Source organism: Homo sapiens, chromosome 6, assembly GCF_000001405.40.
Source record: "Homo sapiens chromosome 6, GRCh38.p14 Primary Assembly".
NCBI classification, from domain to species: Eukaryota; Metazoa; Chordata; class Mammalia; order Primates; family Hominidae; genus Homo; species Homo sapiens.
In genome coordinates, this window is record NC_000006.12 from 156,385,414 (window position 1) to 156,399,784 (window position 14,371).

A 14,371-nucleotide genomic window follows, 5' to 3' on the forward strand; every position below is an offset into this window, starting at 1 on the left:
CTGCATCTTTCTGGAACTGCTGCTAAGCATGCAAGTAAGGATTCATTTAACCAAAAATTTATCTTCTACATTCAGTCTGACTTGGATATCAGACTGAACGTCCAATGTAGACGTACACACATTGTATATTATTCTCTTTTTATGGTACTCTGTTAAGATGAAAATAGACTAGGGGCAGATAGCTTATTTAGTCATTCACATTTTAGCATGAATTAGTTTGATTTAAAATTGTTTCCTTATACCAATGGAGGAACCTGGGCTCATATAGAAGTGTATGAGATGCTATACTCGGAATAGCTCAGAGAAGAGAGGATTAAGAACAAACTTTTCCCCTTCACAAATCTCTTGTGAATCAAGACATTCTTTTCTCTTATCCAGTTTCTATTACCTGAAGTATACGACTGCATGCTTCACTGGGCACAGGTTAAGAGATCAGCATAAAGGTCAGCCTTTCTCTCCATGAGCCCAACCCCACAAGGCACTTATAGAAGGACAATCTTTGGTGTTTATTATAAATGCACATCTGTCTCACCTGGGATGAAGCGTTCTAGTAACATCAAAAATTAGTATGGCTATTATGGAAAATGGCATGGAAGTTTCTTAGAAAACTAAAAATAGAATTACCATGTGATCCTGCAATCCCACTTCTGGTTATATATCAAAAGGAATATGTACCCTTTGGTATGTCAAAGAGCTACCTGCACTCCTGTGTTCATTGCAACACTATTGACAATAGCCAAGTTAGGAATCAAACTAAAGTGTCTATCAACAGATAAATGGAAAAAGAAAATATGGTATACACACACAATGGAATACTATTCAGCCTTTAAAAAGAACAAAGTTCTATCGTTGGCAACAACATGGATAGAATTAGAGATCATTACGCTGCATGAAATAAGCCAGGTACAGAAAGACAAATATCTCATGTTTTCACTCAAATGTAGAATCTAAAACAATTGAATTCATAGAATCAGAGAGCAGAATGGTGGTTACAGAGACTGGGGGCTGGGGAATGTGGAGATGAAGGTCAAAGGGTACAAAGTCTCAGCTATGGGGGTATGGATTTTTTCTTTTTTGAGTCTACTGCAATGCATGGTGCATTTACTTAATCATAGAGTATTGTACATTTCAAAACTGCTAGGACAGTACATTTCAAATGTTCTCACCACAAAAACTTTCCAGTTTTTGAGGTGATGGATATGTTAAATAGCTTTATTTAACTATTCCACATTGTATGCATAAATTATAATATCACTTTGTACCTCACAAATTTATACAATTATAAATTGTCAATTTATAATAAATAAAGTTTATAAAATGAAGGAAAAAAATAAAAAATAAAAACTTCATGGGGTCGACTTTCCAAGTAAAATACCAATGGTAGAAAATATGCAGGAAAATAAATACTAATTGATTTTACTAATTTAAAAACCGTAAGATGTCAACACAGACTATGAACTAAGTTAGCTAAGTTTGTTTGTTTTGGGGATTTTTTGTTTTTTTTTTTGTTTTTTTTTTTGTTTTTTTTTTGAGACAGAGTCTTGCTCTGTCACCAGCTGGAGTGCAGTGGTGCGATCCTGGCTCACTGCAAACTTCACCTCCCATATTCAAGCAATTCTTCCGCCTCAGCCTCCCAAGTGCCTGGGACTACAGGCATGCACCACCATGCCTGGCTAATTTTTGTATTTTTAGTAGAGATAGGGTTTCATCATATTGGCCAGGCTGGTCTTGAACTCCTGACCTCGTGATCTGCCCACCTCGGCCTCCCAAAGTGCTGGGATTACAGGCTTGAGCCACTGCACACAGCTTGTTTGGTTTTTTTTTAAGCAAGCAACCAGTTAGGAAAAAAAATATCTTCAACCTACATTCCTGGAGCCTCCATCTACCCAGTCTATCCCTGGCCAAGTCCTGTCTCTCCAACATCTTCTCACACATCACTGCCTGTGGGAAGCCTCAGGATAAGCCCAATAGTCTACATAGCCCTGTAATACTCTTGATTGCAGGTTTTCATCATTTATTTCATATCCATTTTCCTGCCTGAACTTTATATCCACCAAGGCAAGGATGGGAACTGTCTCGTTCACCATCAGCTGTTACCTCTGGGACTTGGGTGCGAAACTAGCTCTCATGAATTAATAAGTAAAAGTAAAGGATTGCTACTGTATGAACAATCTTACAAGTCAACAATAAAGAGGGAAACACTCCAATAGAAAAATGGGCAAAATGAGTATGTATGTAAAAATAAATGTAAAATAAAATCATGACATCATTTTTCAACCATTTTCCCTCTCCTTTAAATTCAAAAACAAAATAAAATCAAAGGAAAACTAACACATACCTCCCTTAGATGTGGGGAACGGCCACTCTCATAGGCTGCTACAACCTTTCAGCTGGGCACCTTAGCTCTATGTATTGGCTTCTTTAAAATGTGCCTGCCCTTTAGCTCAGCGATTTTGCTTTTAGGAATATGTCCTAAGAATATACATAAATATTAATCTATGGAACAATCAGTGCATCATTGTGTACAACAGCAAAGAGAAATCTAAGCAATAATAGCGGATTAGTTAAATTATGCACATGAGTAAAATAGAATGATATGCAGCATTCTTAGTGAACATTTATTGATCCTTGTATGGGCCAGACACTGCTCTAAGTATGTAGCATGCAGTGTCTGACTTAATCCTCAGAACACTTTATAAAGTAGGCATTACTATTACAGCCATTTTCCATGGAGGGAAATTATGATTTAGAGAGATAAAGTAACTTGCTCAAGGTTGCACAGCTAGGAAGTGGCTGAACCAGAGGCAGTCCCCAAGGCCAGGCCCTAGGTCACAAAGCTATCTGCCCCCATGTTAAAGATGTCCAATGTACATTTAGTGGCATGGAAAGGAGTTCCCATGTTCCTTATAGGTTCACTTAAAAGATAGATTACAAGATCATATATAGTACACAATCACCTTTTTGTAAAATACATATTATACTAAAATGCATGTTTTTACATTTATGTGCTCACATGCATATCTGTGTCTTTATCTTTGCACAAGGACTAAAAGAAAGAATTCACATCTAAAGGTTCTCTGGGAGGCAGGGTCGTGGGATAATGGGGTTTTTCTTTTCTTTTTGCTTACTCCAATGTTTCACGGTTTTCTAGAATGAGAATAGGTCACTTGTATGATACTTTTAAAAATGTTTTCAGTTGACCTCCAAGTAGCCTAGAACTTCAGAGGTCCTTATATATTACCCAATCTAATCTTCTTCCTAGCAAGAAGATGCAAGCCTAGAGAAACCAAGCAAGTGCCTCCCAGTGTCTTGGCTAACTAATACCAGAGCCAGGATTGTGACCGGGCTGCCTATCCCCGACCCCAGGCTCTTAGAACCACCTCCACCCCAGGAAGGCATCTGACTGTGCTCACCTGCACAGTGAAGAAAAACACAACTTGGACACTCACTCATTGGACACTCACTCATCCTTCTGAGCATTCAGCCACCTACCTTCACTCGCTATAACTAGCATCCTGAGTGACACCCTGCTGCCCTACAAAACAACGATGCCCTGGGAGATGAAATGCCTGAAGAGCATGACACTGCAGCCTCCAACCAGCTCCGGATCATTCTTCCTAGACCAATGACTCTGAACAGAGAAATCTATCAGCATCCCCCGGCAACATCTTCTGAAGATGAGGCCTGCATGGAGATTCTGACTCAGTGGGCATAGAGAGGGGCCTACGTCAGAACATACTGAAAAATGTTTCCGTGCGAAACTAATGTACATCCCCAATTAAGGAACCCTGGTCTATATAAATCTTCAAGTGTCAGTGTCTTAACTGGGAACTAGACACAGTTGTTTTCATCCTAATTTAAAACTCTGTCTGCTGTTAGGAAGAACAGACGCATCCCTCTCTGCCAGAAGCCTTGACGTGGATGAGGCTTTCTTTTTAGTTGTTTCTCATCCTCAGGAGAACATTGAGAAGGGCGAAGGGGGTGTTGGCTCACTCCCCCACGTTGCTCCAATACATCTGGCCGAACCCCCAGTCAGGCCATTGAGAACCCAAAGCTGGTCAGCAGTGTGTAGGAACAGGGCAGACCTGACAGCAGCTCGAGAGCCAGCACTGGGGACCAAGGCGTGGTCCACAAGGGAGGCCTCACCGGCCGTGAGCGTTCCAAGCATCCACAAGGTTACAGCAGACATCAGAGCTCCAGAAGGAGCTTAGAACATCAACTCACTCTTAGCATCCATCACCAGCAGCAGTGGAAGCAATTCAGAAGCAAACCTTCTCCAGAAACAAGATGAGGCTGGTCTTCTCTGCTTCCTCTTTAAAAAATGAAACTTGAAGGGGGCAAGAGCTATGATGTCCTCCAGGCTTTTGCTTTCTACCTCCCTCTTCCTGTCATGAAGGATTGGTGGTACGGGAATATTTCCACATTCTGTTAACACGGAGGAGAGAGAAGGGACTCTGATTCCGCCAGCCATCACTGCTAAAACAGGGCTTGAGGGTTGGGGACACCAGCGTCCTTCTCACTGAAGTAGCAATGTTGAAAGAAAACAGAAAGATGGCCCCATTGGAAAAAGAACAGAAAACGTTTACAATGAAGTGGGATGTAAAGGTAGAAAGTAGAAGGAAAGAAACACAAGAAAATTAAAATGCGCTTGTAAAACTGTGAACTACATTATGCTATATTACCAGTAATTTCAGTGACTGCTCACTTAGGAACGCTTTTCTTTTAAAAGAAAAACAGAGCCAGCTCTTTCTTAGTTGAATAACAACAGAGAGAATCTTAAAGTCTGGATTGCGTTTCTTGGTTTTTAACATTGTTTACATTTGTTATTTGTATATATTAATACATAAGTAGATTTTAAATAAATCCTACCTGGGAATCATTTTTAGAAATTTTGGGTTTTTTTTTTTTTTTTTTTTTGACAGTTCCATATTTAGCTAGACTATTGAACTCAGTAAAATGTAGGGCTACGTTATGATTGTAAAGAACATTACAGCTGAAAACTCAAAATAATAAGTGTTTTGTTTAAAATTACAGCCAATTCTTCTGACATACGAAGTGATAGTGGTTCCCCAGCTAAAAGAACGTGCTGGCCTTGCTTATGAATATACACAATTTGGATGATATTTTTACATCCTTACTAACTTCATAGTACCGGGGACAGCTACAGCTAGGGCTACCTTAATCTCTAGTGGAGCACAAAGAATGCAACCTCAAGCCGGGGGCAGGTTTCAACTCCCCTTGCATATCCAGGCTGAATATTCCCCGTTCTACACAACTTCCACAAAACAGCTTGAGCCACCCCCTTGGGCAGAGACCTAAGCTCTCCTCCTCTTCTCCTTCTGATAAAATCTCCTTTGACATCCAAGGAAGTGCAAACCCATCTCAGCCTTTCTCTGACTCAAGGCTTCTATTTCTCAGCTAGAAAGCATTTGCCTCAGGGATTATATTAAGACAGCAAATGTTGTGGGAAGAACATCAGCCATAAAGGCAGAAGGCAAAGGTTCAAGTCACAATGAAGTCGCTTCCTTCCATGTAGGACACAAAGCCTCTCTGAGCCATGATCTGTCCCTCATAGGCAGGGAGAATCCACTCTGTGTTGGGTACAAAGCCAATCGATGCCAAAGCACTCCCCACACTGCACGGTGCCTCCAAATACAAATGAGGAGCGGAGAAACGAAGACGGACATCAGCTCTGTGCTATGCCAGCATTCCCTCCGGTCCACAGCCTTGTCCCCCAGGCAGTGAATCTCTCTCCCTGTGCAAGCAGGCCCAGGCACACGCTTCTCAGCAGGTCCTGAGATCCTCCACAGGAAACGCGAAGCAGGCTGGTTTCCTGGCTGCCCACCTGGAGGCCTTGCAAGCTAGCCTTGTTCTGCCAACGACTATGTGCCGACCCCCAGACAGCATCCACTGAGGTTTTCTCTGTCTAACATCTGCCAGTTAGTGGTGCTCCTGTTTTATGGATCTTCATTCACTGTAATCTTTGCTTGCTGCAGCAGGGGCTGGTTTAGCCCTAAGAGAGGGCTCTGCAACAACAGTGTTAAACAAATAGCACCAGGCCTGGTATTTTTAGATATGTTAAAATTCTCTCTAAGCGCAGTGTGAGGGCCTGAAAAACTCAGGCTGTTTCCTATGGCTGGGCGAATACTGATAAGAGCTTTATCCAATTTATAAGGCAAGAGAAGGAAATAATCATGTGTGATGGAATTGGACAAATAATCCAGTTCCAAACAATTATGAAACATAATGTAATTACTGAAGACTGTGTCAGGGTCTGGCAGTATCAGATTTTTCTCTTTCATGAATCAACAATAATCTAAAATTTTGATTCTTCCAGGCCTCATGAATCACCAAAAACTGTAGGCAACTAAAAATCAAGATAAAATCAATATACACACACGTGTATGGCACAGATACCTTTTCTTTTACATTTTTGGGAAATGATTTCACAGTGCTCCACAGACACACCCCTGCATACCCCACCAGGTAGGAGAAAGCACTTCAGTTAATGCCAACACCCCCCTCCAAATCCAATTCTGCATAACAGGGAGAGAAACTCATATTCTAGTTATGATTTCTTAGAGAGATGGGGAAGAAGTTTCATTACAGAAATCACACTGCAGAAATGGACGAAATCCCTCAAAGGGATTTCCAATTCTCTGCCCAGAAGTCTCCTCTCTGGCCACCACCTCCACCTTCCCCCACTCACCATCCACTGCTATTCAGAGCAGGCTGACGCTCCTCAACTTCCGACTTTTGTAACTGAAATCAAGACTTCTTCCTACCTGTAATGTCTGTTTATGAGATGAGGCCCTGACTGCAGAGATCAAAGGTGAGGTGAGGTGGATGTTTGAGGCAGAATTCTTCGTGCTGCTGGGCTATAGTCTGGACTGTGGTTTGGGAAAATAAGGGAAGCATCAGAGGAGGCTGAGGATTATAGAAAGGAAAGGAAGAAAGGGGTTGAGAGGAGGTCTGCTCCTTTCAAGGCATAGACCTACCTCCTCACCTAACCCTGGATCCTCACTTACATCTTAAGAAAGCCACTAAGTCACATGGAAAAAGACTAGGAATTACGGGTATGAACTGCAGTTCAGTTTGGTTTTCATCCATTTGATATCTCCCCATTTCCCACCAACAACTCAGGAAGACTCAGGTACATACCTATCATCTTCTCAGGTGCCTCCTCCAAATAGAGCTTCTCTTCCCTCCCCCCTTCCCGGTGTCTAGTGTCTCTAGTGTCAGGTGACTTTCCAGGTCCCCAGAGGAGACAGCAAGACATTGAGGGGGACCAGTGGCTCCGAATCTGAGGTGCTTACTCCTTCCTGAAACAGTTCTTTATTCTCGCCTTGAGCTTCTTCCCCACAAGCCCCACCCTCCAGGTGGGCACACCACACCACGAGCTCTATGCAGGGCTCTCATTTCACCTACAACAGAACAAAAGTTCTGACCAGACAGCTGTGCTCACCACCACCTCCTCCGCAGCAGGCTCCCACCATGCAGCCTTCACAGGGCTGGTCACATAAACCACCCTTCACACTGCTGCCAGGGCAACCTCTCTAAGATTAAAACCTCTCCATGCTCACTCTCTCTCTCTCCCTCCCTTTCTCTCCCTCCCTCCCTCCCTCCCTCTCTCTCTCTCTCTCTCTCTCTCTCTCTCACACACACACACACACATCTGCATTTCTGCTTAAATGCCTTTAGTTCAAAATTTCCTTTTGCTTTTAGAGGAAAGCTCAAACTTTAAGTGGCTTGCAAAGCCCTTCGTGATTTGGCCTCTCCCTTTAACACCCTCTCCACACTCCAGCCCCTTGGAGCTTTCTTAAGTTCCTTGAGTAACTAAACTCTTTCTTGCCTCAGATCCTTGCATATGCTGACCTCCTCCTCCTCCTCCTTCACTCTGTAAAGAACTAGTTCTTACCAACCTTCAGTCATCACTTCAACACTGTCTCCCCAGAGAGGCCTTCTCTGACAAGCCCATGTAAATCAGATTTCCCAAACACAAACCTATATGCAGTCATGATTCTGTGGCACAGCAACCTGTGGCTCCTAGCTTCGTGGCTCTTACTGAAATTGGAATCACTCACTTCTTTGTCCACTGTTTTATCATCCAATTAAGAAGCTTACTATGATTTCCAAGATGGCAGAGGGGATGATTCACTCACCCAGCATCAGCACCATGCATATGGTAGGTTCCCGAAATCATGACATTATCATAAGATATCATCATAACTTGTACTCCTCTTGGATCTTGCAGACAGACCAAATAGGAAATTATGCTGTATTTAGAGAACAATGGAAAAAAAAAAAAAAAAGACAGCCTGGAGATTTGTATTGAAAAGTCCTGGAAATAAATGTGCATAGATGTGGTAGACAGGCTCACAGGGTAGCTCTTAAAAGCCCAGATGATAAGTCTGGGCTTGATCTGGCTCAATGCCTGAGAGGAACAATGATATAAACTAGAGGGTATCAAGAGATTAATACTGAGTCAAGGCAGGCCACATGGAGGAGTGAAGGGCTCCGATCCTGAATTGGAGAAGAATAAGGGAAGACAGACTAATGTCTTCTCTCTCATAGGAGGAACCACCAGATCTAAAAGACAGATGTTTGTTCCTGTGGGCAAAATTGGATTCAATTGGTACAAGCTTTGCCCCAGTACAAAAATAAGCATGTTAATACCTCAAACTGTCCAATAACAATCACTGTCCAATATTACTGCATGAGGTAGTGAAGTGCTGGTGGCTAGAGGTGATGGGAAGGGGACAGAATAAGGTGGTTGGGGAGATCATTTCTATATTATCCAGCAGGAGACTGGATTTTGATGATCCTTTTCCATTGCAACACTCAAAGCTCAATGGAAAACCATCAAAAGTTTTGAGCCAAGAGTAATGTGATTTTTTTAAAATGATGTGTTATATCAGAAAGTTCTGTGAAAGGTTTTGTAAACTAAGAAGTTTTCAGTACCAAATGAAAGAATTAGAGGCACCCTGAGATATCAGAAGACCAGGATGGAGAATTATTACTCCAAATGAAATTTGATTTGACAAAAACAGTGTAAGAAAATAGCATTTGCAAGATTTGTAACAGCTATCAAAGTCTCCAAGATAAGAACTTTCCTTAGGACTAACATCTTTAATGATAAGTAGATAAAGGCTTCTACCTCAGTAATTAAAATAAGGCTCTCTTATGCCATATTTGGGATACTCAATCACAGCCGTGTTCAAGATCAAAAACTTATGGGATGTCTGATGTTTACATAGATTCCAACTAGCAGTTGAAGAGATTTCTGCACTATAAGTAATTAAAACAAGGCTCTCTTATGCCATATTTAAGTTTCTAAAGGAGACTTAAGCAACCTCTGCTACATGTAGTATGGTTGGTGTAAAAAGAAAAACACCTTATTTAAAAATGTCTAAGATGCCAGCTTCGTTTTTGACTCCCCATCACCTGAGAGTTTTTTTTTACCTGTTAAAGCATGGAGGAAAAGACAAAGTTTCACAAAGTCTGTAAAAGTCAGTTTTTTTGTTTGTTTGGTTTTCTTTTTGAGACAGAGTTTCGCTCTTGTTCCCCAGGCTGGAGTGCAATGGTGCGATCTCAGCTCACCACAACCTCCATCTCCCAGGTTCAAGAGATTCTCCTGCCTCAGCCTCCCAAGTAGCTGGGATCACAGGCACCCGCCACCAGGCCTGGCTAATTTTGTATTTTTAGTAGAGACGAGGTTTCTGCATGTTGGTCAGGCTGGTCTCAAACTCCTGACCTCAGGTGATCCACCCCCCTCTCAGCTTCCAAAAGTACTGGGATTACAGGCAGGAGCCACTGCGCCCGGCCTGAAATAGCCAGTTCTTAAAGTGCCCAGCCCTGGGCAATCACCGCATCTGTTCTATATTCTCCCTTTCCTTTTCCTTTCCTTTTCTTTGCCTGTGTGACTAGAAAAAGGGTCTCTGGAGTAAAGATGTCACCTGTGAAACTCTGGGTGGTGATTCAAACATTTGCAAACATTCTAACTGTTTTCGCTCGAGGGCGGTGGTGGTTATAGTTTCAGCTTGCCCTAAATACACATGCCCACGCCCATGTCAGCTGGTGCCTCCTCCATACACACAGGGTGGAACTTGCACCTGTTGCCAGCTGACTTAATTCTCTTTTATCATTCAAAGGAAAAACAACAAACATGTTTTCCACCATTTTCAGTTAAAGAGAATGTTTTGCCTTCTATAGGAGAAAGGGGTTGTGAGGGAGGGGAAAAATGTTTCATCAGAGCGAATCCTCTACACAGCTTCCTTTGGTCTGGCCATGACCAGGTCAGTCAAGCCAACAGAAAATGGTAAATTCACATTTATGGTGTGAACCAAGGCCATCACTAATAAAACTGTAACCTCGCTGGTGGAATACTGAAATATGTCTTGACATCTTTGCAAGAGTTGTAAAGAGAGCCTGGAAAAGAAAAGGAAAGCCCAAGCATTGTTTGCATTTTCTTTTTGCATTTCATTCAGCAAAGACTTTTTAAAAACTTAGTAGAGGGTGATACCAGATGTATTTAGTCTGCAGTATGGCCAGCCTTTAAGTACATGAAGTAATCCCGTCCAAACAGCAGCACAAGTGCCTCAGTTATCTCAGGTAACCAGTTTGGAAACAGCAAGAGGGCTTTGGGTTAAATATCAGAAAATATTCATAAGACACCATAACAACAGAAACAGAGTCGAACTAAAACTTTGTGGCAAAGCCAATATGTAAATCACAGCTGGTGATTTCTGTTAGGAACTTTGGTTTGGGAGGTTTCACAGCTTCATCTCCAAAGCCCCGATTCAAAACCACAATGTTCAGCAAGTCAGTGAGATTTCATGCTTTTATCTGAAACCCAGACCGACAAATGCATCTCTTGATGCAATTCAGGATCTCTGAATCTTCGCTAAAGAACCGAGCTAACCCATGGAACGCAATCTCAAAGCCTTGCTCTTACCCAGAGAAGCACAGTTGCCACTTAAAGGTTCAATAAAAGGAGAGGTAGGGAAATGCCTGCTGCCACAGCCCATTAGTTGCTACATTTAAACCCCTACCACAGTAACCAAATGTGATTGAGGTTTCAGAAGGAAACCTACACGGTATGAAATGTAGCAATCATTGGTCTATAAATATAGGATGTTATTCACTGTCAAGTACTTTCTCTAAAGGAGGGGTAGGGGGAATTCTTACTGCAAAGGTAGGTTGCAAAATTTTTTCACCTAGAAATAATTTAGAAACCGGCTGGGGCACAATCTCATAATGTCTCAGGTGCAAAAAGTTTCTGATGCACCGGAAACAAAAGCTGGCAAAACAAAAGCGACGTCAGTTGTCTCTCTGTTCTACCAATTGAAGCTTGGGTGTAAAAGGAGAATGTTTTTTAAATCCAGGGATTAGTGAGGGACGCTAACCCCTGAACCGGGATTACTGAGGGACAGAGAAAGAAAATGTAGAGGAGGAAAAAGGAACATTTTACAAAAGATTTCCTTCGTAACTACCTTCAGACCCCGGGGCTGCAGAAAGGAGTAGGCGGCTGCGGTGTCCTGGGCCCTGCGCGTCCACGCGTGGGAGGCGAGGCCAAGGCTGCCAGGAGGCGCTCCCGCACCCCAGGTGCGCTCCTCCAAGGAGGCCCACCCGCCTCCGCTGGCCCAGTTTTCGCTGTTTTCTCGGCGCACCACGGCGCCTGCAGTTAGTAGGCAATCCATCCCCCCGAGCTGCAGCGAGTTAAGCTGCAGGCCTTTTGTAACGGCCTCAGGTGTGAGCTGCCGCAAGCCCCCCCCACCCCCACCCCCGACCAGAGGATCACCGGCCCGGCCGAGAGGACTAGGAGCCAGGTGTGCGAGGCCGAGGGATCCACGCCGTTCCCGCCCAGCGCCCCCTGGGTTATTAGGCCTCGCTCCCCCACACAGCCCAGCTGGTAGCGAGGCCGGAATCAGGGCCCTCCGTCGGAGCTCCCACCTTTAAAAGAACGCGTCCAGAGGGCGGAGCCAGCTTAAAAGCGGGTCGAGACATTCACCTGTGGTTAGGCAAAGACACGAGAGAAATAGTTAATTCCTCAGGTGCCCCAAATCACAATAGAGCTCGGGAAGGAGGAACAACTTGACAGAGAAAAGAGGACAGGACATTGATCAGGGAAGATGTCTGCAGAGCTTGAGGTTGGGGGATTGGGTTCCAACCAGGGAAGGTAATTCTGCAAAATTGGAACACACAGGCCCTCTGTCTGTAGGCAAGTCTGACAAAGGGCACAATCCAGGAAATGGAATCGAGATGCGTCCCCTGCCTCTCAGCCTACTGACCCACTTTCCTCCGGCTACGTCTCCCCCAGATCCATGCCCCTCCTTAAATCTTCCTGCTAGCCCAGAGGGAGGAAGGATGAGGCCTGGGGATCACAATGTAGGTGGAACGAGAAACCTGGGTCTGTTTGACAGTTTCAGAAGCAAAGAAGCGTCTCTCTCTTTCCCAAAAAAAAAATCCTTTCTGAGCCCCCCTCACTCAGTCCCACCATACATACATACACAATGCACCTGAGGAGACCTCCAACTCCCTGTCAAGGAGGCTGAATTTCTACACGTAGTCGCTCATTTTGTTTAAAGCGCAGAAAACATCTGCACCTAATAAAAGATGTTAGTGTGCCATTCTAGAAAAGAGAAGCCTTTGATACATTCTTTGGTGTTAATGCTGCGGCATGAAGTATTTTCCCAGATTGCAGTCTGTTATCTGAATGGGGCAAAGATTCCCTAAGTGAAGGGAATATTGAAAGAAAGTTCTGGAGCATGCAATCCTGTCCAGTTGAAGTACTGCAGGAAAAGGAAGCACGCACACACATATGTACACAAATGCACACTCATACAGGCAAATCCTCCATGACTGTGCCTCAGAATCACCTTATTCAATTGACAGAAGCACAGTGTGACTACCATACTTTTGTTACATCCATGAAGTGTGTGTAAAGAAACACAAGTCACACGATCCTTGGCTGGCATGGCTGCCTCTGCCCTGCAAGTGCCCATGGCCACAGGGAGTTGCAATGGTACCAGCATGGGCTTTGCATTAAGTATATTTAGGTTTGAATCCTAATTCTCGCACCTTCTGACACAACCACCTGAATTCAAGTTCTGGTTCTTGCTCTCAGAAGCTGTGTGGTCTTGGGCAGGTGACCTGACTTCCCTGCCTCTCTGTTTCCTCATCTGCAGTGAGTGTAGTAACCTCAGACAATCCATGCAAAGCACTTAGCGTGGTGCCCGCCACGTGCTCAATAAAAATGAACTATCATCACTTCAATTATTAACCATTAGATTTTGGGTAATTTTCCTGCTCTCAGCCTCAGATTCCTCATCTGTAACATGGAGATGATCTTATCTACTTTGACAGGAATATTATGCAGGTTGAAGGAGATATTATGTAGGAGAGTTAGGGAGCACTCAACAGATGACAGCAGTGATGGTGATTAGGAGAAGGAGGATGAGGATGATTTTGACGTTAAATATGTTCAAGCCAAGCCAGAATATTCACAGGTACCAGCCCAAGCCCACCCGTTAACAGGAAAGGTAAGCACCCATTCACCCCTGCCTGCCCCTGGATGGTGACAATATTTGTCTCATCAGGTGGATTCTCTTTGGCCTAATTAGTTTTACGCAATTAGGTCTGAAACTACATATGATATAACCCAAATTCAGGGAATCTCAGCTATTTAATTGTTTCTTTCCTTTTTCCCTTTTCTCTAAGCTCTGATGTAAGGTAGTGTCTCAGGTAATTGACTCATCTGCCCGTATTTGTTCATTACAGCTGTTGCTAGGAAGTTATTATGTAAATGGCCCTGCTCCTCAATCTCCATTATGCTTTCTTCTTGTTATTGTGAGATGGAATTAAGTGCTAGCCCTGTATTGAGTTTTTATTAGAGTCTTTTTATACTTTCTTATTTTTCTCTCCTCCTTTATCAGTCCCTTTAGAAGTTAATCCTTTTAAGGACTTTAAAGAAGATGCAGAAATTCTTGAGCACCTTGGTGGGGAAGGGGGCTGGATTTCAAAGTGGGTTGAGCCTCTCCTTCTTCATTGTGTTGATATTTAGTACCTGGCTTCTTTAATTTTCAAAAAAAAATCAAATTTAAAACATCATCATGCTCCTATAAGCTTCACTACTTCTGATAATCAAATAGCAGGTTTCAACTTGACACATGGATAGGGTAGCAGTGTGCCACGTTCATTACCATCCCTTCTACTGGATTAGGTAACTGAGTCTAATAAAGATAAAAAGCTTCCAAGATAAAAGGAAAAAACAAACACTAGTACCAAAAGTAAACAATAAATTAAATAACTAGCACAAAACCAATTTGGAAATATAGGATTAGGATGTTGCTTTATTTTTTTGCCACATTGC

At 43.1% G+C, this 14,371-nt stretch overlaps 4 annotated features.

Annotated features, from left to right (window-relative positions):
- Window positions 10,010-10,119: a silencer, noted in NCBI's record as "silent region_17704". NCBI's record gives its function as "represses an Ori minimal core promoter by ATAC-STARR-seq in GM12878 lymphoblastoid cells {active_cell/tissue: GM12878}" and the evidence as "EXISTENCE:reporter gene assay evidence [ECO:0000049][PMID:35858748]".
- Window positions 10,761-10,810: a silencer, noted in NCBI's record as "silent region_17705". NCBI's record gives its function as "represses an Ori minimal core promoter by ATAC-STARR-seq in GM12878 lymphoblastoid cells {active_cell/tissue: GM12878}" and the evidence as "EXISTENCE:reporter gene assay evidence [ECO:0000049][PMID:35858748]".
- Window positions 11,092-11,622: an enhancer, noted in NCBI's record as "H3K4me1 hESC enhancer chr6:156717639-156718169 (GRCh37/hg19 assembly coordinates)". NCBI's record gives its function as "activates a minimal SCP1, AML or CMV promoter by ChIP-STARR-seq in naive H9 embryonic stem cells {active_cell/tissue: H9 hESC(naive)}" and the evidence as "EXISTENCE:reporter gene assay evidence [ECO:0000049][PMID:30033119]".
- Window positions 11,623-12,152: an enhancer, noted in NCBI's record as "H3K4me1 hESC enhancer chr6:156718170-156718699 (GRCh37/hg19 assembly coordinates)". NCBI's record gives its function as "activates a minimal SCP1, AML or CMV promoter by ChIP-STARR-seq in primed H9 embryonic stem cells {active_cell/tissue: H9 hESC(primed)}" and the evidence as "EXISTENCE:reporter gene assay evidence [ECO:0000049][PMID:30033119]".